The 27,479-nt window shown below is 35.9% G+C and overlaps 2 long non-coding RNA genes across 2 annotated transcripts in view; one reads left to right on the forward strand and one right to left on the reverse strand.

The window, feature by feature from the left end:
* LINC03000 (long intergenic non-protein coding RNA 3000) overlaps nt 1–27,479 on the forward strand; it is a 765,030-nt gene that overhangs the window by 145,122 nt on the left and 592,429 nt on the right. The window lies entirely within an intron of this gene.
* Nucleotides 6,596–25,576, reverse strand: LINC02143 (long intergenic non-protein coding RNA 2143). The gene is made up of 4 exons (NR_105064.1): nt 25,521–25,576; nt 22,973–23,036; nt 7,406–7,587; nt 6,596–6,813 (listed from the first exon to the last, which is right to left on the reverse strand). It is a non-coding gene; the product is annotated as a long intergenic non-protein coding RNA 2143 (long non-coding RNA).

The raw sequence follows: 27,479 nt of genomic DNA on the forward strand, positions 1-27,479 counted from the left end.
TTTTTTTTTTTGCTTTGCAAAAGCCTGTGCCTCTGATAGGGTGGCCTTCAAATATTTCCATGTATGTTTGTCTGATATTCTCAGACAGAAATAGCTACTTGTCATATCATGGCTTATTCATCATCTCATCAGTTGGTATAAATCTATAAACTATAGCATACTATAGTCCTAAATAGGAATCTAATAAATATTCAATAGAACTTCTGACCATATTTATTTTTTATTCAAAAAAACATTTACTGATAGTTGACTACCTTGAGGAAATACAGTAAATGTACAATGCTAACAATTATTGAGCTCTTATTTCTCTAAGACGCAGTACCCAGAACTTGACATGTATCACATTTCCATTAATCCTCAAAAACTCACAAAGGTAAGTGTTATTATCCCCATTGACAAGATGGGGAAACTGAGGTACATGGAAACAAAAGAGTTTGCCAGTGCAGCCCAGCTGGGAATGGCGGGCATCTTAAAGCTCAAAGCAATACTGCCTTCTCTTACACATACCTCACTTTATATTCATGAGTCTTATTTAGCAAGGACTGCCACAACTATCTATAGGCCCTGGGGCACTATGGAACTTGCCCAAGGATCACTGGGGTTTAAGGCACAGCTGAGATTAGGAAACAGCTTTTGAAACTGAACAACTATATTCTTTTCACAGCCCCTCACTGTCTCACAATGATGTCCTTCTTCAGTTAATGATTTTGACTTTCCAATGTTAAGTTACGGTAAAAAACCAACCAACCAAAAAAAACACACCTGTGCAATTTTGCATGTTTTTAAACAGAATTGTTTCTCGATGTTATGATTTCCCTCAGTGCTCTAAGTGCCTAAATTTCCCCATTACACGTCAAGAAAAACTAAATTTACTAACACTCCAATAACTTTATAATGTCACATTACAAAAATCTGTGTCCATAACTCCATTTTTCCAAAGGAATTTCCTTTTTCTGAGCTTTATTTTATGTTTTTAAACTAAATGAAATACAGAAAGCAATGGTTTAGTACACAGCATGGGTTTGCCAACACTAGTTTACATTAGACCTGCTAGCTAAACCTCATTTCTCACCTGTGAGTCCAACAAATAAATTATAAATGCTGGCACAATATTTATATTATTATTTTTACGGCCCACAATTTACAACTCTGACTGTCCTTGAGAGGCTCTGCGTATTTGTTACGGTTCCCCTCCAGGGAGGATTCATCATATGACGACTCAACATCTGTGCTCAGGGAAAATTCAGGCTCCGTCTACTATATTCCATTTCCCAAGAAGCGTTATTGTTCCTCATTGATTGTGTAACGGAGGATTAATTATGCTGTCACTTAGTGTATTTACATCCTTGGTGGTTGTATTGGCTTGCTGACTTTAAAAGGGCCAGTCTACGTCCTGCAGAGGGACATATCTGTTTTTTTTTTTTTTTTTTTTTTTTTTTTGAGACGGAGTCTCGCTCTGTCGCCCAGGCTGGAGTGCAGTGGCGCGATCTCGGCTCACTGCAAGCTCCGCCTCCCGGGTTCACGCCATTCTCCTGCCTCAGCCTCCCGAGTAGCTGGGACTACAGGCGCCCGCTACCACGCCCGGCTAATTTTTTGTATTTTTAGTAGAGACGGGGTTTCACCGTGTTAGCCAGGATGGTCTCGATCTCCTGACCTCGTGATCCGCCCGCCTCAGCCTCCCAAAGTGCTGGGATTACAGGCGTGAGCCACCGCGCCCGGCCGACATATCTGTTTTATAAACTGCCTTCTTGCCACGTATTGCTACCGCACAGGTGCTGTGTCTGTATTTCAAAACAACCAATGGAATAGGAAAAGTCTTCATCAGCTGGTTATTTTTAACTCTTAAGAGAAACTGGATTGGTGCGTTTTTCACTAAATTAACCACTGGTGCTGTTGGGGTGCCGTGGCTCACGCCTGTAATCCCAGCACTTTGGAAGGCCAGCAGGGAGGTTTGTTTTAATCCAGGAGTTCAAGAACAGCCCAGGCAACATTGGGAGACCCCACCTTTACAAAAAACGTTTTAAAAAATTAGCCAGGTGTGGTGGTGTGCGTCTATAGTAGCAGCTACTTGGGAGGCTGAGACATGGGGATGTCTTCATCCCTGGAATTTGAAGCTGCAGTGAGCCTTGATTTTGTCACTGCATTCCAGCCTGGGCAAGAGAGAGACCCTGTCTCAAAAAACTTAAATAAGTAAGTAAGTAAATAAATAAATAAATAAATAAATAAATAAATAAATATTATACACTGGTGGACAGTAATTAAAAGTAAAATAACCAGCCGGGCGTGGTGGCTCATGCCTGTAATCCCAGCACTTTGGGAGGCTGAGGCGGGCGGATCACGAGGTCAGGAGATCGAGACCATCCTGGCTAACACAGTGAAACCCCGTCTCTACTAAAAATACAAAAAAATTAGCCAGGCGTGGTGGCGGGTGCCTGTAGTCCCAGCTACTCGGGAGGCTGAGGCAGGAGAATGGCGTGAACACGCGAGGCAGAGCTTGCAGTGAGCCGAGATCGCACCACTGCACTCCAGCCTGGGTGACGGCGTGAGACTCCGTCTCAAAAAAAAGAAAAAAGAAACCTAAGCTGGAGTCCCAACTTTAACAGTTATTGGCTCTGTGACTTACTAAGGGTAAGTAAATTAAAATTCTGTGCCTAAAATGTCCTCAACTTTAAAAACACAGGTGATAATAATGTCCATATGACATAGAGTGACCAAGAGTAAATGAGATAAAGCACATCACCTAACAGAATGTCTGGTAACTGACACTCAAAAATATAGCCATCATTTTATGCAATGAGTATCACTCAGAGCTGCTGTTTAGTGTATTCGTTAAGTGTACAGTCACTGCAGCAGTGATTGCAAGCTTTTATTATCTCTTTCAAATAATATATCTAGACTTAATCTTTGTTTATTTATATAGTATATCTATTTTCCTCAAAAATTAAAAATGACCACAGGTCAAAATATTTCTTCCTATTTTCGGATGTACAGATTATGCTTAAATAATCACGAGTTTTACAACTGCCTAAAAGTAGACCAGTGATTAACCTTGAAATATGATTGTTTCTTTTCACTTGTGTCAATTAATGGGTTTTTTGGACATGGCCAACATTACCAGACAACTTTGTCTATCTTACTCTCACACTCAACCAAACACTGGGATATCTAAATGGTACAATCATGTGGTGTGTGTCAACAGTTCCACCCTAGGCATCATGGGACATTCTGTTTCATCTCTTTCCTATAGTCCAGCAACAGCCTTGTCTCCCCTTTTTCATCTGTGCCCTGAAGAAACTAGGGTGTTCTTTTCTTAAACTACAAAAGAACCCATATTGTTAACTTAGTCAACACTCATCAGTAGCCTTCTAACACACTTAGGATTAAATCCAAACTCCTTACCACAGCCTACATGGCCTTCTGGAAGTTGATCCTTGCCATTCTGTCTACTCTCTGATCTCCTCTCCTGGTATTTTTTCCTTGAACACCAAGTTCCAGTCATCCTGATCTTCTTGCTTCTTAAACATACCAAGTTCATGCCTTACCCAGGATCTTTGTGCTTGTTCCTTCTCCTAGAAGCCTTTTTATAGATTTTCAAATACCTTCCAAAGTCTTGTCCTCAAGATGTCTGCCAATACGTTACCTTATCTCTTTTGAAATACCTTCCTTGACCACAGTCTCTAGAATACTCCCCGTTTCCCCATTCCTCCCCATTGCCCTGTTTCTTTTCATGGTATTTACCACTATTTGCAATGTTAATAATGTATTTATTCATCTATTTTCATCTGTTAAAACACAATCTATAGAAAGGCAAAGACTTCCAGCATTTTGTTTATGGCTACATCCCTCCAGCCCAGAGCCTAGAGCTGTGAGAGAAGCAGCTCAGAGAAAGTAGGCAGTCAAGAACAGGAATGATCTAAAACAGAGCCTACCTTGTATTTGTAAGTCATAAATATCATTTGATTGCAGAGGGGAGTAACCTCAACATGTATTATTTAAAAGCCTAAACATACTTTTTGTTGTATAGTTTATTGTGCTTTTATTTTCATAAGAATGGCACCAACTCTATTGATGCTAATTTACCTATTTAATTATGCAAACATTATTTAATGAGTTAACCCAAAATGTATATTTTATCATGTGATGCTTAAAATGCTGCTGGATGAAAAATTAAGAGCCTTGAATCATTTAAATACATTCAAGGTTATATTATTCAGCTATATAACAACAAAAGTCTGAACTACTATTTCAGTGAAAGTCAATGACATTCCTTTCACCGAAATATTATTTTTACTCTGAGTTTTTTAAAAAACACAATTGTGAGCATGTGAGCTAGTTTGGCTATGATATCTTATTAGTGTAGCTGAATTTTAATCAGAACATGGAGTTATGTGGGGCGAAAAACACAATAATTTGTATTTGATGCAATACTGCTAGCTATACTGCAAATAATTAGATCCTAGTATCCAAACATGAAAATTCAGTATAAGTGAACTTAAAATAGTATTTGAGAACAAACCAGTAAAACAAAATGAAATTTGTACTACACTTGTGACCTTAAGCTATGAATATTAGAGCAATTACTCTCTATTGTCCTGCATATGCAATCAACCTGAAATGTAGAACAACTTAGCACTACGTAAAACTTATTTCCTCCAAGGTTAAATTACAGGTCTATCTCTTTATAATATATTCATTACAGTACATTTCAACAAAAACAGTATAGGCTCTAACAAAACATTAAGGATAAAGCTCCTTTTATTAAAGAAGAATTTGAATAATATCCCCCAATAATCTGAGAGAATGTAGAGATAGATTTGTCAATATATGAACAGAATCTTACGGAAATAACAAAATTTTCAGAAATAATTATAATCTGCTTAAAAATAAGAACCTCCTCCTTATAAAAGTTATCCCCACCCCATGAGAGATGGATTGAAGGAATGAAGGAGTCATGCTTTCATTCTGTAATTCTTTATTGATTATCTTTTATGTCTCCACATCCCAGACAAGGTGTTGGGAATCAAAGATAAGCAATCCCTAGAGGTTCTCATTGTTTGCTAGGTGAGCTGGATACACACGCCTAATTAAAGCATGTCTCTCCCCCCAACTCTAAGAAGAGGTGCGCCTCCCAGGATCTGCTAGGAATTGCCTATATTCTTCTCCCAATGTGGTCAACACTTATGACTGTACCTTATAATTTAGCACTTAATGAAATGTCCAGTGTGTAGATGTATTGTTCTTTATTCTCAGTTCATGTTTTGTAATGTGCAACCATGATTTAGTATTTTTTTATTTATTTTAAATGCCCAGTACGATAAAAGACTGACAGTGGACACTAATCAAACAGAAAGATGATATATACAATCTAGGTCATAGTACAGGGGAGTCACCCTTTATATTAAAATATCAAAGGAAGAATTCTATATCATATCATCTTTGAGCACCTATTTAAAATCAAATTTCAGAATTCCAGATTTCTCTTCCTTTAAAAGAGAAAAGTTCTCTACATTGCTTATCATTACCAAGTTCTTACTTTATTTACTCGTTTTGTTTATTGAAATCTTCCCTAATAGAATGTAAGCTCCATGGGACAGGGATTTTTCTCCTATCCCAAATTACTAAAAAAGTGCCTGGCACATAGAAGCTACTCAATAAATATCTGTAGAATGAATAAAGGAAGGAATAATTCCTATTTTCAAAACAAGTCAGAAGAATGTTATTGATGTAATCTATATTATACATATGGAGAGATGCACATATAGGAAATACATATATGTATAGGATACATAGGGAAATATATATAAAAATGGGATATATTATACATATCTATAAATATATATAAGCAAATAAAAGAACAAACTTTCATAAGGTCAATAAATGAACAAAACTTAATAATTATATCATAGGTCAATGGAATGTCCTGACATACTTCCTCAGTACTAACGTGTATAAAATAGCTTAGTATTTTGGAAATCAGACTGCATTTTTAAATTCATTTGTACATGTAATATGATGGCATTTTAATTGTTTTTCTCCTAATCTAAAGGCTATTAGTCATTTTATGGCCTGTGTGTCCCAATTGATGCTTTATTAGAATTGAGAAAGTATGTTCATTTGCTGCGTACTGATGATCAGTATCATGTTATTACCATACCATAACCATGGTAAACATCCCTGACACTGGCAATATGAATAGGTATGATGTCCAGAAGAAGGTACTTTCTTTGTAGAATTTTCTCAACAATTAAGATAGCTGCCCCTAGGTAGCTACTATATGTTGTTGTATAATGTGGTCCTGGGAGGTAGTTATTTTTAGATAATATTAGTTAAATAGGAAAGACTGAATTCAAATTTTATTAATTTTATTGCAATATTTTTTAAAAAGCATAAAAATGCTAACTAAATAGCAGAAGAGCAGTAATTTTCTTTCATATTACCACACTAAATTTAAGTAAAACACCAGTAGGATAGCAAAAAAAAAAAAAGAAACAGAAATATCCAGGTGCGAACTACTTCTGCTTTGATGGATGCTCAATGTGTTATGATGTTAGATGATGAACACGGTATTTATTGAACACTCAGTATATATGGTGGGTTCTGTGAAAGGTGCTATTCATTTATTGTGATCCCTGCTTTGTGGATGAGGAGACTGAGACTGAGAGAGTGAATAACTCATCCGGGGTCATGCTTACAGTCAGCATTAGAGCCAGGATTGGAATTAAGATGCCCCTTCATTCAACTTCATTCAACTTGCTCTCTTCTTTACAGTGCTGGTTTAATTTGACAGCAGTCTAGGGCCAGTCCAGGAGCTACCTGCAGGAGCAAGACCAGATTCATAGACATGCAACCTGTATAGTCCCACTTAGAACCCCCCTGATACCCGCTCCTATCCTCACTGCATTCCCTTCCCCCAACCAGTTTAAGGCTCTGCTATCACTATTTTGACAATTTGAAATTCTTAGTAACTTTGAATAAGCAAACTTGCATTTTCGTTTTACACTGAACTTTGCAAATTAAATAACCAATTCTATTCAGTATAGAAATTCCACAGAATACTTTCACCTTGATTATTGCTTATTGAATTATTTTCCTTTTGAAAAAGATAATCCAAGCAGACTGAATTTTCCTCCGTATAGGGATATGAATTAGCAACTTGTTCCTGTAATCCCATTTCTAATCTACATAATTTCAAACTGACTCTACTAGGCATAGACTCTTTGGTCAGTTTTTTTTTGGGATCTTTAGTCCCTCTTAAGGTTGACCTATGGATTAACCCTTTTATTTTTCTCTTTTTCAGAAGGCTTATCACAGGGTTCTCTCTTTCTTCAGCTAATTTCCTCCCTCAGATTGTGATTGAGGCTGTTAATTCAATTATTCATTAAAAAGTAATGAAAAAAATACTTACTGCAAAGGTTGCACACTGTCACCAGCACACTCTTCAAAGACCAGTTGCAATTCGACCTTTTGATCAGAAGAAATGCACCAACCTGATGCTGCACTTGCTCTTCCAGTTGTTCCTGTTATATTATTTATTTCCTCTCTTTTTGACCAGCTGGAGTTATAATATGCTTTGAGTCGCTAAAGGGGCTTTTAAGAAAGCAAGAGAAATGCATTTATGTCATATGGAGGTTGCGTGCTAATTACTAATCTGACAGGGTGTAATAACAGTACGAAAGCATCAGTAAGAGAAAAAAATGAGCAGAATATGCAATTATCTTATGAAAGAGTTTCTTTCCTGGAGGGAGAAATCTGCATGTTTACCATCTGTAACAAAGGAGATGTGAACTACATAAGTGAATTACCCCAGCTCTGAGTTCATGTGTATATGTAATGGGATGAACTTGAAATGACATTAAGTAATTTCATTATTGTCAAAAAATACAAATAAAGAACACTAAAAGGCATGACTAATATAGTGAACTCCAAAGATGGATTTTCAAAGTTTTTTCAAAGGGCTACAGTAATTTATATGAGAAATCAAATGTGATATAAAGTAATATACATTTTCCCAGATTACAAAAATATATATTGCATAAAGCTATCATTATTCTTTATAACACATGTGAACAGAATATCCACAATATGCTGTAAGGAAAAGGAATCAGTCCATTAACACTGCAGCCTAAGAGTCAGAAGTTTCATTTCTCATGGCACATTTAGCCACAGAGTTAAATAATCTGGAAAATGACCCTGGTTAATATTTAGAAAGAGTCTTACTTTAAATGACCATAGTGCAAAACGGTTTTCATGCCAGCCTCAAACATAACATTTAAGTGTTTGCCTGAGTCTCTGTAAGTCTCTTTCAAGGACTTTCCAAAAAAAGAAAAAGAAAAATACTCTTCCCCAAAAAGTTGCCATGTTAATAGAGAATAGAAATATTACTTCAATAATACAATCTAATATTTCTCCATCCTTAAAAGTACAAATTTTTGTCTTTCTGTTTCTAACATTCAGGATGCTAAATAATCCATATGGCTATATGTTTACTCTTTTAATGAGAATGAATGTACTTTAAAGATATGGAGACACAGACATGTATTAATCTTAACTGGTCTGTGAATCCTAACAGCTAGTAGTATCGCATCTCTCTTTTGTAGGGTCAGAACAACTCCACCTCTATCCTCTTAGCATTCCGATTGGGTCTGAGAATTAAATTTACAAAAATTAGATTAACAAGAGAAAAGCAAAATGTAAGTTTTATATGGCATGTGAGCCCTCATAAAAAAAAGGAAGACCTAAAGAAGCAGTTAGAATCTATTACTTATATATAGTGAATAAGACAAAGAGTAGTAAAAGTGAAGAAGCAACTAAATTATATGTGGAGACTTCAGAGTTATATTAGCAATGTCTGCATAGAATTCTCTCAGTTTCGACTTCCCGTCCTTGAGGATAAGGACGTTGTCTCTTTCTAATACAGGAAGAGCACCTTTCACATGGGAATTTCTTGTTCTGCTTTTGAGAAACAGCCCAAGGTCAATGTGATCTTTTCACATCTGCTATTTTTCAAGTGTCTTTAACTTAAGTCGTCAATATGCAGGAATAGCACATTTTAACCCCTTCACCATCCACCTAGAGCACTCAGACAGCTGCAGAGAACTGTTCAAAAGATTATGCTTTAGCTTGGGCTACATGCCAGAACAATGATTAAAAGATTGGAAGACAAGCATATTTAGGAAAAAGAAGTGCCTTAAATTACCTATGCTGTTGTTGCCTTTACTCTTTCTTTCTCCTGAGATTATTTCATGACTTCAAGTATGCCTTGCATGCTTATTTAATTTTGTAATATTTTTGTTTTGTAATTTTTAAAAAAACGTATGAAATATAAGTCAAACATTAATTGTATTTAGTAGATGTCTCTGAGCTCTAATGTAAATGACTTGTGGTGTGGTGCCTCAGAGGAGCATTCTTCCCTTACACACTGTCCATACGTGACATCAGTTTATTAGGTTGGTGCAAATGTAATTGCGGTTGGACTGTGAATTTTAAATCATTATAACTAGGCTCAAACACATCTTTATTAGTCAAAATAGCAACCATTACAATCCACACCTTTTTGCCAGCAAGAAATAAGTTTGTTTGTTCTTGTAGTGTAAAAATCATGCTTTGGGACTTGACGAACTCTTGGAAAGCATGTTCGCCATCCTGCTGGTTATGGAAGCATTTTTCCTGACAAAAGTTGTCGCGATACTTGAAGAGGTGGTATTCAGTTGGTGAGAAGTCATGTGAATATGGTGGATGAGGCAAAACTTTGTAACCCAATTCATTCAACTTTTGAAACATTGGTTGTGCAACGAACGTGTGGTCAGGCATTGTCATGGAGAAGAATTGGGCCCTTTCTGTTGACCAACGCCGGCTGCGGGCATTGCAGTTTTCAGTGCGTTTCATCAATCTGTTGTGCATACTTTTCAGATATAGTGGTTTCACCAGGATTCAGAAACTGTAGTGGATCAGACTGGCAGCAGACCACCAAACAGGGACCATGACCTTTTCTTGGTGCAAGTTTGGCTTTGAGACGTACTTTGGAGCCTCCTGTTGGTCCAAACACTGAGCTGGTCATTGCTGGTTGCCGTATAAAATCCACTTTTCGTCACATGTCACAATTTTTTTTTTAGTTGTTTTTTTTTTTTTTTTTTTTTTTTTTTTTTTTGAGACAGAGTCTCCTTCTGTCGCCCAGGCTGGAGTGCAGTGGCACGATCTTGGCTCACTGCAATCTCCACCTCCTGGGTTCAAGCAATTCTCCTGTCTCAGCCTCCTGAGTAGCTGGGAGGGGTACAGGCGCACGCCACCCCACACGGCTAATTTTTGTATTTTTAGTAGAGACGAGGTTTCGCCATATTGGTCAGACTGGTCTCGAACTCCTGACGTCAGGTGATCCAGCCACCGTGGCCTCCCAAAGTGTTGGGATTACAGGCATGAGCCACCACGCCCAGCCAGTCATGTCACATCTTATCGAAAAATGGTTCATTGTTGTTGCATAGAATAAGAGAAGACAACACTTCAAGACAATGATTTCTTTGATTTTCACTCAGCTCTTGAGGCACCCAATTATGGAGCTTTTTCACCTTTCCAATTTGCTTCAAATGCTGAATGACCATAGAATGGTAGACGTTGAATTCTTCAGCAACTTCTCGTGTAACTGTAAGAGGATCGCCTTCAACGATTGCTCTCAATTGGTTGTTGTCAACTTCCAATGGCCTGCCACTACACTCCTCATCTTTAAGGCTCTCCTCCTTTTCAAAACTTCTTGACCCACCACTGCACTGTACGTTCCTTAGCAGTTCCTGGACTAAATGTGTTGTTGATGTTGTGAGTTGTCTCCGCTGCTTTATGACCCATTTTGAACTCAAATAAGAAAATCGCGGCTGGGCGTGGTGGCTCATGCCTGTAATCCCAGCACTTTGGAAGGCTGAGGCGGGCAGATCACGAGGTCAGGAGATCGAGACCATCCTGGCCAACATGGTGAAACCTGTCTCTACTAAAAATGCAAAAATTAGCTGAGCGTGGTGGCGGGCGCCTGTAGTCCAGCTACTCAGGAGGCTGAGGCAGGAGAATAGCTTGAACCAGGGAGTTAGAGGTTGCAGTGAGCCAAGATCATGCCACTGTACTCCAGCCTGATGACATAGCAAGACTCTGTCTCAAAAAAAAAAAAAAAAAAGAGAGAAAAAAATCACTCAGATTTGCTTTTTGTCTAACATCATTTCCATAGTCTAAAATAAATATAAAATAAACAACAAGTAATAAGTCATCAGCAAAATAAAGTGAGAAATGCACATTAAAATGATATAAACATAACCACATTTATTTGAGAATGTGTTCCGATATCAAACAGCAAATTTCAGCAATGCAAAAACTGCAATTACTCTTTCACCAACCTGCACCATCTGCATTTTCCACAGAAAATGTTTCTGAGAAGAAAACAAAAATAATATTATCTGAAAATAATTTATAAAGCAGTTTTTACATTGTAATTCCATCTTTGGGTATTATTTTTTCTTTGGGCTGATGTATGTCATCTTCTAATCCCACATATGTCTAATTCTTATTCTAGTATTGCTGTACAATTCATAATTTGAAAAATTACTTAAATATATGCATTTACTATAATAGCCCTGAAATGTGAAAAAAAAGCAGTACCCAGTATAGCTTATGCAACATGACATAAGTTTTATAAAAAGTACATGTAAACATGCATAAAGAAATCCAGAAACATGTATTATATACAAAAAGATGTGATGTATCCAGTGGAGTTTAATCCTACCAGTGTTATCACCATTTGTAAACATTTGGAAGACTGGGATCCGATCTGCTCAACTAGAGTTTTTAAGTGACTAGGATGGATCACTGCTTATTAAGCACACAATATAAAAAAGACATGTTTGTCTTGCTTGGTTGATTTCATGCTCGTAGAGTAAGCAAAAAGGAAATGCACCATCAGGCAGGTGAACAGTATTCCTCATATGTGAACCTTTTGAGAACTGGATGAGTTTTTAGTTATCCCGTATTATGTTTCTCATGTTTCATTACTTTCTTTTATTGAGTCTGGTCTCTTGAAAGTTTCTCTCTGAATATATTTAAGGATGAACTCATTGACGTTTTTTTCTTCCATTCATCTAGATTATTCAGCATCTTGGAAATAATGACAGGAAATAAGTGTGATTCTAATTTCAATATTGCTTTATTGATAAAACTTTACATTTACTTCAACTTCATTTTATTGATGACAATGGATATTTCACGAAGATGTACATGAGTCATCCCCTAGCCCAGTGATAAAGTGGGAGAAGGTGAAAATGCAATAATTTCATTCCTCCTTTCCTTCTGCACCAATTCCCAATCCCCTTAGAATTTTATTGTGCTATGTAAAAAAGGACACATAGGGCTTCACATAGGTGAGGCATAATTTCCTTTCTGAATTTTTGAACATTTGAACTGTTTCATTCCCCAGAATATTCACCGTGGCATCACTTTTGAGGCTCTAGCTGTCTCACATTGTGATGTTTCTTGCCCAAGCTCAAGTTTTGTACTATGCCTTATTTTCCTGTGATCACCTTCATATGAATGTTTCAAGGATGTTTATAATTACGTCAGTAATAAGGGCTGAATATTATCACTCCTTCAGTCAAAAACTATTTTTGAACATCAGAAAAGCTTGATTTATATCATGTATTAGTGTATTTATTTTGAAAAATAGAACTGCTTAAACCTGATAAATAGCTTTTTGTGTAGTATAAGCCACATTTCTGATTATCATATTCTATTACTATAACATGATTTTTGGCAAGAAATTACTTATTAAACATAGCCAAAAGTCCACTACTGAGAGTGGTGACATAGAACAGTTTTATTATTGTGCTTAGTATACTGCCACCTATTTTGTTGCAGGTGAAATTCATTAAGAAAATTAGAGAATTTCAACTGTCATGTCATGAAAGAGGCAAAAATCTTTTCAGCTAATATCTGATTTCCTTAAAAATTTACTATCTTTTGAAATATCGTGGTCTATCTCTGTAGATTATGACACCCATTCTGTAGACTCAGAATTTATCTTCCTGTTCAAATTTGAGTAATGCCAAAATGTTTTCCAATGAAAAGCAAGATATTTAATAAGATTGTTTGTTGAGAACTGAGTATTAATATATTCTAAAAGTCTTTTTAGAACTCTATTTAGAATTTTAGAAATAATGTAGTCAAAAGATTCTTTGCCTACATTATTTCATTTGATTTCCAATGGAATCCCATAGCAACTGTATTATTGTCCCCACTTCACAAGAAATGCAGATTCATATACAGTAAAAGGTAGGGCCAAATCCAAAATATATGCTCATCTTACAATTGTGTGATTATTAATGAGCAACATAATTAGTGATGCATACTTTATTCATGGTATTTTTTGTTTTCAATATAATGGAAGAAAATGTTACTCCAAAAAAAATTGATCACAGCTTAATGTTTCTCTTATGAGATCTTCCTTCTATTTTTATCTTATCTATTCACTTTTTAAAAAACCCTTCTATATTCTCTACTCCATCTCAGGGCTCATCTCTACATCATAGTTTTCCAGGTACATTGCCCACTTAAAATATGTTCATTTTGTTATTAATTCTGAGTTCATATTCTCAAGAGAAGAAAGCTGATAGGCTAAATTCATATTTTGGTGTGATATCAGGACATAATGGCACTGGTCGATCTGTTTGTTCTGTTGTTGCCTCTGAGTTACATTTGTTTCTGGTACAATCAGCTTAGGTTGAATATAGAGGACCATGTGGCAAGCATTGTTACCTAAAATTTACCCCCTTCACTAGGTATCTATAGGATGATCATGGACGCCTGGCATAACCAATGGGAAAGAGGGGGTTAGGTGAGCAGATGATGGGTGAATATTTTTCTGATATTTATCATGATAAAACTTAATCAGGAATGTCATATTTTAAAATGATAAACTGCATTAAAAGACACAGCACTGCTAGGAATGACAAATGGCAAATGCTTCTTTCAGGGCTCAATTTTTATTTGATACTGAGAGCTTATACTGCCACTCAGATAAGCTCAGTACAGAAAACTTTCAAAATGGAATCCTTTGTAATTCCTGGAAATTCCCTGGGAGGACCTCTGGATGAGGATACTTGACTGTTACCTAAATCTTCTTCCATTTCTACAATTTATATTCTTAGTTGCATTTCTTTAAGATTTTGTACTACAGAACACTTTAAAGTATAAGCACAGCATTTTTGCTGTTCTAGTACGAACTTGACTTTTTTTATCTGAAGAGCAGAGATCGAGAAATGTAAGCAGTTTGTAAAAGGTCATCTAACCAAGAAGAGCGATGAATTCAAATACTTGTATTATCAGATCTGTTAGTTTTTCTTAAACCACCCTTCTTCTATCCAAAGCTAAATTTAAAAATATTCTAAATAATTGGACACACCTATTATTCAATTTGTTTGGAAACAAAGTGAACTAACCGAATACTCTGATTTCTGAAAATATTTTATATATCAACTCTTTGGGTAGTTAATTTTCAATATTGAGGAAACAGTAAGCTATATTATAATGAAAACCAAAACTTGTTTGAAATCTTTCTTTGATACATAAGGAACTCCAGTGATACTTTTATGAACATTTTTGCTGTGTTCAGAGTGCTTCTTCTTCCACAATTTTAAATTGAAACCTAATTTCTGATGTGGCAGTATTAAGAGGTAGGGCCTTTAGGAGGTGATTAGATTATGAAGTCTCTGCCCTTATAAAGGGGGCAGTGTCCTTATAAAAGAGGCTTGAGTGAGACCTTTTGCCCTTCCACCATGTGCGAACACAGCTAAAAGGCACTGTCTAGGAGAAGCAGACCCTTACCAGACTCTGAATCTGCTGGTGCTTTGATTTGGACTTTCCAGTCTTCAGAACTGTGAGCAGTAAGTTTTTATTGTTTATAAATTACCAAGTTGATGGTATTTGGCTATAACAGCCAAAATGGACTAAGACAGAAATTGGTACAAAGAAATGGGGGTACTGTATTTGCTGTAAGAAATACCTTGAAATGTGGAGTGGCCTTGGAACTGGTTAATTGGTGGAGGCTGGAGGTACATACTAGAAAAAGCCTACATCATCATGAATGGAGCATTAAGGGCGATTTGGGTGAGGGCTCAGAAGAGAGCTATAGAGAAACTCTCAGTCTTCTTAAGAGATTGCCTGAGTGGTAATGATCAGAATGTTTGTAGGCATATGGATAGGGAAGACTATTCTGGTGAAGTTTCAGCTGCAACCAAGGAACATGTTATTGGAAACTGAAGGAAAGGCCATCCTTTTTATAAAGTGGCAAAGAACTTGGTTGAATCATGTTAGTGCTCTAGCGCTTTGCGGAAGTGATGAAATTGGATAGTTAGCAGAATAAATATCTAAGCAAGGTATTGAGAGGTTGAGGGTATGGCGTGGTCTCTCTTGACTATTTACAGTAAAAGGGAAGAAGAGAGAACAAATTAAAAGTGGAATTTATAATGAAAAGGAATCTGTATTTAAGATTTGAAAAATTCTTAGCCTGACCATGTTGTAAAGTATGAAAAAGGGAGTTTCAGAGAGAACACCAAGGACCTGGCCAAGCAAACCTTGTGAGCAACTCTTGATTAAGGAGATTTGTATGAATAGAAAGAATCTAGGTGCTGCTCCTCAGAAAAAATAAAGAATGACCCTGGGCCAGGCATGGTGGCTCACACCTTTAATTCCAGCACTTTGGGAGGCTGAGGCAGGCAGATCACTTGAGGCCAGGAGTTCAAGACCAGCCTGGCCAACATGGTAAACCCTGTCTCTACTAAAAATACAAAAAATTAGCCAGGTGTGGTGGCACATGCCTGTGGTCCCAGCTACTCATGAGGCTGAAGTGTGAGAATCACTTGAACCTGGGATGCAGAGGTTACAGAGAGCCAAGATTGTGAATTGTGCTACTGCATTCCAGCCTGGGCTACAGAGTGAGACTCTGTCTCAAAAAACAAAAACAAACAAACAAACAAACAAACAAAAAACAAAAACCAGAATGACCCTGAAGGCATTTCAGAGAGCTTCAGGACTACCTTTCCCATCACAGGCCCAGAATTCCAGGGTCTTCAGAGGCAGAGTGATTTGAAGGGTCTTACCCCCACCTGTGACTCCAGCAGGTAGAAGTTCACTTCCAGCTGCCCCTCCAGAGGGCACATGTAATTTACCTTGATAGTGTTTGAAAGGTGCTATTTCTGTTGGCATGCAGAGTACACAAGCTCTAGGCACATAATTATCTCCACTTAGGTTTCAAATAATACTCCAGAGAGACTTGAAGCTTAAGAATAATCTCTGACTTGATGTCAACCTTCCAAACAAACTGGGGTGGTAAATGGGCCCTCAAGTCTCCTGGCAGCCATGTCCCCATGGTTTTGCTGGGCACAGCTCATGCAGCAGCTCTGATACATGGAAGTCACACTCCTGCATCTCTCCCAGGCAGGAGTTGCACACTGGTAGCTCTACTGGTCTCTTGTCTTGGGAATATCCTTCCCTCCACAGTTCTCCTGGGCCTGTTGTTTGCCCTGTTGGATTTTGGACTTTCATGAGACCAGGTACCTCTTGCTTTCTTACTATTTCTCACTTTTGAAATGGGAATGTCTATTTATGTCTGCTTCACCATTGTATTTTAGAAACATATCACTTGTTTGATTTCTCAAGCTCACAGCTGGGAAGAAATTTGCTTCAGAATGAATCACAACCTTAAGTTTCACTCATATCTTATTTAGATGATATTTAGATGCATATTTGGACTTAGACTTTAAAGTTGATGCTGGAATAAGATAAGACTTTTGGAGTATTTGAATGAAGTAAATGTATTTTGCAAATAAGAAGGAAGTTAACTTTGGGGGACCAGGGACAGAATGCTGTGATTTTAATGCTTATCCCCTAAAATTTATAGATTAACACTTAATCCTCAAGTGACAGTATTAATAAATTAAGCTTTTAAGAGGTGATTGGGTCAGGAGGGCTCTTCCCTCCTGAATATGATTTCTTCCCTAATAAAAGAGGATTGAGGGAGACCTTTTGCCCTTCTGCCATGTGAGGTGCTGTTTAGAGCAACTGACTCTCACCAAACACTAAATCTGCTGGTTACTTGATCTTGGACTTCCCAGCCTCCAGAACTGTAAGTAATAAATATCTATTTTTTTGTAAATTACCCAGTCTAAGGAATTTTGTTATAGCACCCCAAACAGTTCTAAGACAACCTTTGAATCCAGAAAACTGGATTCAGTCTATGCATAACCCAGAAGCAGTTTTTGTTTTCAGTGAATACTTAAATACTTAAGTTTTCTTACTTGTCGTTCATCCTTTTTGCATACAAGTGAAGTGCAGAAATTTTCACTTGCATAGCCCCTGTATATCTGTTCAACTTAGCTTGTTCTTAAGGATCACATAGGGGACAAAATGAAAGAATATAGAAGTGTGTGCTATCAGCTGTGCAAGTTTTCACTTTCCTGATTCTGGAATCTGCAGTAGGTTCCATGGGTCCCTGGAAAAGTTCTTGGCCACATCTAAGTCAGTAAATTGCTTCAGTAGGTTACACCCTTCTTTGTTGGCTTTCCATTTTTATGTCTCAAAGACAAGAGGTATATATTAATTTAAAAAATTGTACTAGCACTGTCCAAAGTAATATAATGTGGGCCACAAATGCATTTGTCGATTTTCTAGTAGCTACATTTCAAAAATAAATCCAATTAAATTAAAGATTAAGATAATTTTTAAAATATATTTTATTTGCCTAGTGTTCAAAAATATTTTCATTTCAAATAAAATCAATATGACATGATTAATGAAATATTTTATATTCCTTTCCTTCATACTAAGTCATTGAAATCCATGTGTATTTTACTGTTATAACACTGTTCAGTTTGAACTTGCCCAATTTCACATTCCCAAATACCACATGTGGCTCCTGGCGAACATATTGGATGCTGCGGGTCTAAACTCTCACTTCTAATCATTTTCTGAGGCAAAGGAGTAGGAATGATTTTGCTATGACCAATTAATACATTATAGAAAAAGTTTACAGTGATCATTTTCACATACTGTAGTTTTATGTGTTAAGATATGTGGAAATCTTTTATGTAAATGCATATTACTAAATTATGACAGGAAATGAAAAAAAATTGACTATAGGCACTAAAGTAAGTAGAGGTATATTCATAAGATAATACCAAATTATCCAAATGATATTATAAACAAACACGACTATATAAATATAGCCCTTATATTATTAATTGAAAAAAAAGATGACATCTGTATTTTCCGTAGTAAATATTTCCGAGAATAAAACAAAAATAATCTTAACTGAAAATAATTTATAAAATGGTTTTTAAGTGGCAATTCCATCTGTGTATATTAATTATTTTTGTGCTGACATAGGTCTTATTCTAATTCCACATATGTCTAATACTCATTCTAGTATTACTGTACTATTCATAATTTGAAATATTAACTAAATGTATGCATTTACTATAATAACCGCTTAAAGTGAAAAAAAGCAGTATGCAGGATAGTTTATGTAATATGATCTAAGTTTTATAAAAAGTATATGTAAACATGCATGAAGAAATCCAGAAACATATGTCATGTTATTAGCAACTGTTTTCTCTTGGTATTAGAATGGGAAGGCCAAAAAAGAAATAACACCACTTTTCTTGTTGTGTTTAATATATTTTTAGTGAGAAATTTATGGGAGATTTTTACATTTTTGTTTTCATATCTTTCCAGTTAAATAAAAATCTAAAAGGAAAGCTATCTAAAGTAGATACTTATTTGTGTCTTTATTTATGTTGCCATCATACATGTCATTTTGGTGCTCTGTCCTGTCTTTCCAAGGCTATCGAAAATTCAAACAGATGCTACGAGTGTTCTAGACTATTTAGATAGTCCAAATAGGGGAAAATGTAAACATTTATTCACAGAAGGCACTAAATAATGTAATAATCACATAACATTTTCATTTCTGACAAGCTTCTGAAGATCTAGGAAATACTAAAATGACAGTTAAAATAATAATAATTCAGTATTTGATGTGTTCAACCAGAGTAGATTCACTCTCCCTCTCAGAGACTAGAGCCCTTGATTTTCTGGAGAAGCAAATGGTTTATGGTTGTTTAAAATTATTGGGACTATTATATTCATTTACTGATAAAGGATATGTTCATGATGGTTTTTTTTTTTTTTTTTGGTCTTTAAAAAGTAAGTTTAGTAAGCAAGGGTGATTTTTAAAAATTAAAAATAAAACTCTTTAGAGGCCAAGTGTTAACAGGATTGGTGGAAATAACCATCTATACTATAAAAGAGAGTGGAAACCCAGCAAAATCAAGATCACAGGAGCATTTAACTGTTTTTTCCCTGAGTATCTGCTAATCTAAGTAAACCGAGCTTTGAGGTTTGTTGCTCCGCTGGGCAGAAGGAGGAAAGTCAAAGTCAGTGTCTGCCATCTGGGGCTGGGAACCCCATGGGAAACCAAACCCACATTAAATAGGGACCACAAAATGCCACGCCCTCAGGAAGAGAGGAAGGACTCATGATTCCCATTGTCAGAAATGGGGATGAAGGTGGAAGGAAAGTCTCCATGTACTGTCTAGAGAAGAAGAAAAAGGAAAACAAGTAAACAAAGCAATCTTGAGTTGTGGCTATGGGCTGTAAATTATTATAACATCTTTGTCTTTTACTCTCAATGAATTAGTGGCCCTTATGGGGCTTGAGACAGAAAAGTAATAGGATCTGAATTAAGTTCTAGAAGTATCCCCTGGGCTGCTGTGTGGGAGATGGTCTATAGGAGGAAGGGTGGATGCAAAGAGGCCAGTTAGTTCGCTGGTGCAATAACTTATCAAGAAGATGTCCAGACCACAATGACAAGTAGAAATGATAAAAAGAGTCATGCCTAGACATTTTTCACAGGTACAACATTTTGGATTTTCTGACTATGAATATGGAATGTGAGCAAAAGGAGTCTGACACCAAAGTAGTTGAAAACACATACACCCTTCAATCCAGCAATTTCACTCAAAAGTATATTTGTTAGAACTATTCCTACTTATGTCAGCAAGGAGATCTGTACAAGAATATACTATTAAACATTGTTTATTATTGTTCATTTTGTTCCCATTACCAGAGGAATAAACAAAATACAATATTTTACAATCATGTAATACTATTCAACAATTAAAGTGAAATAAATCTATGTCCATTAACATGGCTAATCTCAAAAATAAAATGGAAAAAATTAATAAGTACAGTATAACACTTTATGCAAAGAATAAAATCCAAATTTAATATTATACATTGAATAGAAATATATACATTTTAGGAAACACACAGAAACTTGAATTAGACGGACATGCCTAGCTTCATGGAAGCAATAATTTTTTGGCAATGAAGACAATTAAGAAAATCAAGATGAGTATCTTGGCATTGGTTACAATAATCTACATTTCTCTATATTTTCTAAAAAGATTCATTACATTTATCAAAGTCTTGGAAAAAAAGCTGTTTCAAAGAGAATTCTAACCAATAAAATTGCAAGTCACTTGACGGCATGGATATAATTTTATATAGTTAGCTCCCAAGCTTGTAGCTACTCAAATTATGTTCAACAATTTCAGCAAAATTCGTCGAGAACCTACTGTGATCAGAGAATCCTCAAAGAACGGGATTCTGACCCCACGAAACACAATCAGGTTATGTTTCTTGTTTTTCTTAAAACAGATACATTCCTCAAATGGGATAAGTAAAATTGTAGGCAAAGTATGGGACATGTGTATTTATTCTGAATGGGGGCAATCTTTGATGGGGGAAAAAATCCATATAATATTAATTTAGAAATGTATTACGTTGTTAGAATAAAAACAGAGGTTGCCAATTCCACAGAATCATAGAAAGAAAGCCATATTTCAAGTGAGTAAATTCAGTAAGTAAAGCAGCAAACTCTTCAGAACTGAATCTCAGACCTAAAAAAAAGTGTATTCTGTGTTTTTTTTCCCAAAAGCTAGTTGAGTTGCAGCACCTGAATTTTATATGTCATTCTTAAGCCTTAAAATCGTGGATGTTAAGCCTATCTTAATTAAACATGACGTAAAATGTTAAATAACATATGTATGAATATTTTATGTGTGAAAACATTTTGAAAGCTCTGCTATGCCACACAAATCTAAGGTACCCAGTTTTATAAACATAGATAGATATATGAATCTAAGAACAATAATAAAAGCTATTTTAATGCTCACTTACTTAGGGTCATGCATAATAGAAATTAAACTATTAAACTACCTCTGTGCATTACATTATTAAATTATTACTTCAGACCTAAGAGGTTGTAAGTACTAACATGAATGCTGCATTAAAGATAATTAGCATGAAGTTTAGGGAGAATAAATGACTAGCTCAGTTAGTAAGTGGTTCTCTGAAGTTCTGTAACCCAGTTACTGGAACCCCTGTAGTTACTGAGTAGGGTATTTGTGGTCCTTTCTATGGACGGCAGGATAACCTGATGGTTAAAATTTTGGGGGACCTGGGTTCGAACTCTAGCTCAATGACTTACCATCTTAATTGCCTCAAGGGTGTTAAATTCTTAAGCTTTATGTTTCTTATTTATGAAATTATTGATTATACTACAATAGACATGTATGTTGTATGAATAGTGTGAGAATTAAAGTAATGCCTAGGTTTAAAATAGTTCCTAGTGTCTAGTAAACATATGTTCAACTTCTGTTATTACATATTTTTAAACATTATTATCAAGTAGCTATGGAGTTAATGTTCAGCCTCAGGTTAACAAATTAATTGAGTAACAGTTAACAGACAAGAACAAATAAGGAAACTTCCCGTAATCTCAGATTATTCTGTCATGAATAGTTTTGTCATCATTTGGGATAAAGCCCTTTCTTAAAACATTCAACATGTTAAAAATCATATTCAAAATCTAAGTACTAATAATATTCTAGTATTAAGCATAGATTAAATTTTGATTGTTGTAACTATCTTTTGTGAATATTGAGAAATGATCACAATAGCATTTTTGTTCATGTGTTTAATTATTCATGGCATTCCATTTGAAGGCCAACAATATTAGAGTGTGAAAACTGATGATTTAATTTTTATTAGTTCTCAATTCTTTCTTTTCTTCCTTGTATTATCTTACTTACCTTATCTAATCTTAAAACCTCACAGTTTTTTGAGAGAGATACTCTGCGAAAATTCACAGAATTTATCATGTCATGAAGAGAATAGCATATTTGTAAGATACACTGTTCTGCTGCTTTATTTGATCAAAAGTAAATCTTACTGATGATTATCACCATGTGCAAAAATAATTTTGTGAAGTATTATATTTCTGTTGGCATCCTTTCTCATATTCAAGTGATAAAATTGATTTCCAAATATCCTTTCACAAATCCCTAAAACAATAGCCAGTTTACACTTGAAATACACATGATCTCGCTCTGTTTCTCTCTCTGTCTTTCCTTAATGCCTTCACCTATCCATTAAGTACACATATAATTAGGCCTTAATTGTATTTTCTATATCAATTTCTCTTTCGCTATTTCTTAAAGGAATTCTCTGTGAAACTAGACTACATATACATTTCTGTCTTCTCAAAATGGCCACAAATTTGGAAAAACTACAATCTACTCACTTTTCCTTAAATATGTAAATAATCAGCATAGTCTAAAATCACCATTGTCTCTAGTAAAATACTCTTGTTCAAATTAAAAGCTAAACTTTTTATAAGTTCAAGCAGCAGCATGCTCTTCTATGAATTTAATTCACTTTGCACTAAAAACCTCTCATATAAGCAAGCAGGCCACATCATGACCTGATTACGAAAGTCAAATCTTAATGCCCCTTGGAAGAAATTATCTCATGAAAATAAGACTTGAAAGAATGAAAATAACCAAGCTCTTTTAGCTTGATCTCTGAGCTCTTTTAGGTTGATGGTTACCTGATCTCTCATTAATTCCTTAGTGTTCAAGCCCTCACCGCTATCTTCCGTTAAAGTAAAATTCCTGAAAAACAAACAATAAAAACACATTGTATTTATAATAGAAGAATTCTATCAAAACTGATCATGATTTTTAAAAATGCCATTAGAGAGAAAATACAGCACACTAGATGGAAATATGGACTCTGACATTTAATAGACATGGATAAATACCCCGTCTACTAATTTAATAGGTCTCTTGTATCCCAACCTAATTCAAGATCCAACTCTAGTGCTTTCTTATCCATGAAGCTCTCATACAGAACACTACAGACCAACTTCTTCCCCAAATAAGTTTTTCTCTTCTCATTTTTATTTCATACATAATATTCATCTCTATAGGATATATAATTATATATATAATTTAAGTTTAGGCTTCCCATCTAGACTATGAGCAACTTGATGAAAATGGGGTGATATTCCCCACAGTGGTGCCTGGCACAGTGCCTTGCACAAAGGTTGTATTCATAAATATTTCCTTCTCATATTGCTAAAAAGCCATCTAGGTTCAAGATAGAAGATTAAAATTTTGATCTCATAAGTTTATGAGCAGCAGAACAAAATGTAAGTTTTTAATCAAAAACAATTTTAACATTTGTTTTCATGATTGCTAAAAACAGTATTTAAATCACATTCAAAAATAAGCAAGTTTACCACAAAAGCAAATAAATGAAACAGAGGAAGGAAAAGGAGATGAATTTTACTTAAGAGCTACATTAATCAACATAGGAGTGGTTATTTGATCTAGATCAAATAATCCTAACTATGTGTGTTTAATTTTAAGACCCAATCTATTTCTACCCAAGACTTTAGATGTGTAAGTTATCTTTCTTTTGTCTCCAGGTAGAAAGAAAAAAAGAAGTGCTATTTTCAGGCAGAGAAATGTACAATTTTAAAAATGGTCTAGCATTTTCAAATTATTTATACCTTACCAACTTATATTGCTTGTGCCAGATGTACAGATTTTACATCTGAATAATAAAACCATGTGTCCTTGTCTGTGAAGCTGAAATTTTACTTCAGCAGTAGGAATTTGACACCATTAGTGACTACTCCAAATGTACTTGCACATTTCAAACAAATTCACAAGCTAGAATATTCTGTTCTCCCTCCTGCCCAGGGATTTGTACATGCTACTTCTTCAGCCTGGATGCTTCTTCCTTACTCAGTCCACAACACGTACCTGCCTTTTGCCTCAGCAACATTTATTTATTTTTCAGCTCCCTTTAAATCTCACTTAATCAGAATAAAACCTTCCTCAATTTCCTCTATTCCTAGGCCAGCATCATTTATGATGAACTCTCCTAGTGATTGCTTCTGATTTGGAATTCTTATCTAGTTGTTAAATGTGGGGGTCACTGTGTGACAATTTCATTTACTCCTTGCCTCCTCTATTAGACTGAAAGCTAGAGAGGTGATGATGAGTCATAGATGCTTTTATTCACAGTGTCAGATACACAGTAAGGTAGGTACCCTTATTAAATAATAAACTGGAATTATTTACTTGAAAATATCAATTCATTTTTAAAGTACTGTGCAGCCTCTTCACTTCAGTGTGGCATGAATACCAAATTATATTATATATCAAATTATGTTAATAGAATTTTTAAAAATTGTCTACAGCAATGATTTATTTAATGCATTTGGCCTTTTTTCACTTATTCACCTCAGATTATGTTGTGCTCTTCACAAACCACCTATTATCAGGATGATGGAGTCTCGCTCTGTCACCCAGGCTGGAGTGAAGTGACACGATCTCGGCTCACTGCAAACTTCACCTCCTGGGTTCAAGCAATTCTCCCGCCTCAGCCTCCCGAGTAGCTGGGACTACAAGCGCGAGCCACTATACCCAGCTAATTTTTGTATTTTTAGTAGAGATGGGGTTTCTCCATGTTGGTGGGGTTGGTCTCTTAACTCCTGACCTCAAGTGATCCAACAACATCGGCCCCCCAAAGTGCTGAGATTACAGGCGTGAGCCACCGCACCCAGCCCAGATAAATGTATTCTTATTTCTTCCACTCTTCTCAAAACTATCTACGTTTTTGCCCAAAGCTTCCAATAGACCTTTCTCTCCCGCTATTTTTAACATTGATTTTATCGAGGCCAGTCTCTTTAGGAGTCAAGAGCTTGTAGACACTGTCCCTGTTTCAGTTGGTCACCGAAAATACTCAGTCCCCTCAACACCCCCTCTTCCTCATTTAGCCAGATTCTGCTTATTTTAAACATTCAACTTCCATCCCTCCTTCCCGCTGACTACCCACCACACTCTGTTCATTCGCTTCAACTCTCAATTGCTATTGTACTTTTATGCTGTTCCACACGATTTACCAGTTACTCATAATATGTCTTGTATTATTAATGGATATTTTACACATTCTAGCTTGCATCCCCCAACTAAAACACAAGCTTGCAGTGTCAGGAATTGTAAAAAACATTTCTATATCCCAAGGCAGTTCCAAACACGTCATGGCCAGAGTCCAGATCTCCATCAGGGCTGATCGCTATTCACCTATCAAGTCTTGGTTTCAAACACGCTCGTGAAGCCTTCGTCCTCTCTCAGTACCTGGCACATACCGGTATTATGGTCATTTCAGCCCGTTGTGTTGTCATCTTTTTCTGCTTTTCTTTTGTCTACCCACTAGGAGCAGAGCCTGATGAGGTAAAGGATTATGTATCTTATCATTACTATATCCTTAGTATTTAGCACAATGCCTAGTGGAGGATAGGGGCTCACTATGTATTTGCTAAATGAATAAGTCAATAATCTTGGTCTCCTTTCATTTATGCAGGCATAAGATATTTTTCCTTTATAAGAAGATTCAGAAAATCTGGATAAATTTTGAAAAAATTATCTGCTTAGATCTTTAAAACATAGGTAAAACCAAGTAAAATTTCTTATTGACATTTTGTTCTGTGCACAGAGAGTAATATAGTGGTTAAATAGACTTGAGCTTTGCAATCAAACATGTCTGCATTCTGATTCTGCATGACCTTGAGGAAGTTCCATAGCCTTCATAAGTCTCAGTGACCTCATAAAAAAGTGAGAATTGACTGACTACCTCACAGTGTTGTTGTAACAATTAAGTAGTGTAATGCATGTAGAACTCCTGGCAAATTGACTAGCACAGAATGAGGCTTCAGATCATTTTAATCAATTATTCTTTATTAAGGCAATTTAATAGGAGAAAAGACTAAATGTTATTTCTTGTGCTTCACAGATGTATTCCAGATGAATATACATTTAAAAATATACAAAGAATAAACACAGACAAGTAGAATACCTTTGATTACACAGCTACAAAAATCTGACCACCTTGAAATACTGTGTCAGGGTTAGCAAACTTCCTCTGTAAGGCCAAATAGTAAAAGTTTCAGGCTCTGTGAACTATATGATCTCTGCCACAACTATTGAACTCTGTCATCATAGCATAAAAGTAGCCAGAGACAACACATACACAAATGAGCATAGCTATGACCCAATGAAACATTATTTACTAAAACAGGTAGTGGGCCAGATTTGCCAATTATTGTACTATAATGGATACACTTTCTCTCACAAGAGAATTCTACCATAGGTAATAATTTTATATTTGTATATTTGTGCAATGATGCCAAAACGTAAATGAACAGAAATGTTTAAAAAACATGATGTTTTTTAAACATTGTTAAAAAACAAGACCAAAGCATAATGTTTAAGAAATGTGAATGTATATTTCCATCTTTAAAGGCATTTGAATACAGTACATGAAATTCAAAACCTCAGTTGTGAATTCGCTATTTACCAATGACAAGGTTTAAGTTCTTCAGTGGCCATGAGTAAGTTAAGTTTGTCATCACTTTTTGCCCTGGTGTAGTATTTTCCAAATAGTAAATGCTCAATTCACATGTACATTAAAGTAAATACTAAGAAAACCCTCACATGTAACTAGACACAATTCTATTCATGTATCTTTGAAATCAACTGGAGACATTATCAATTAATGCAAAGATCCTGGGCTTTCAATCCAAAGAAGCTTACCTCTCTGCTCCAGATGCTCATCTTGCTGGCTGTGTGTCTCCAGGTAAGTTCTGTAATGTGGCAGAAATAATATTTGTCTTAAAGCAATGGTTGTCAGCCAGAGTGCAGTTTTTCCCCCAGGGCACATTTGCAATGTCTGAAGACATTTTCAATTTTTTTTATTTATTTATTTTTTTTTTTTGAGACAGAGTCTTGCCCTGTTGCCCAGTCTGCAATGCAAGTGTGCAATCTCGGCTCACTGCAACCTCTGCCTCCCAGGCTCAAGAGATCCTCCCACCTCAGCCTCCTAAGTAACTGGGACTACAGGTGTGCACCATCACACCCAGCTAATTCTTATATTTCTTGTAGAGATGGGCTTTTGTCATTTTGCCCAGGCTGGTCTCCAGCTCCTGGGCTCAAGTGATCTTCCTGCCTCAGCCTCCCAAAGTGCTGGGATTACAGGTGTGAGCC

This window comes from Homo sapiens, chromosome 5 (assembly GCF_000001405.40).
Source record: "Homo sapiens chromosome 5, GRCh38.p14 Primary Assembly".
Lineage (NCBI taxonomy): Eukaryota > Metazoa > Chordata > Mammalia > Primates > Hominidae > Homo > Homo sapiens.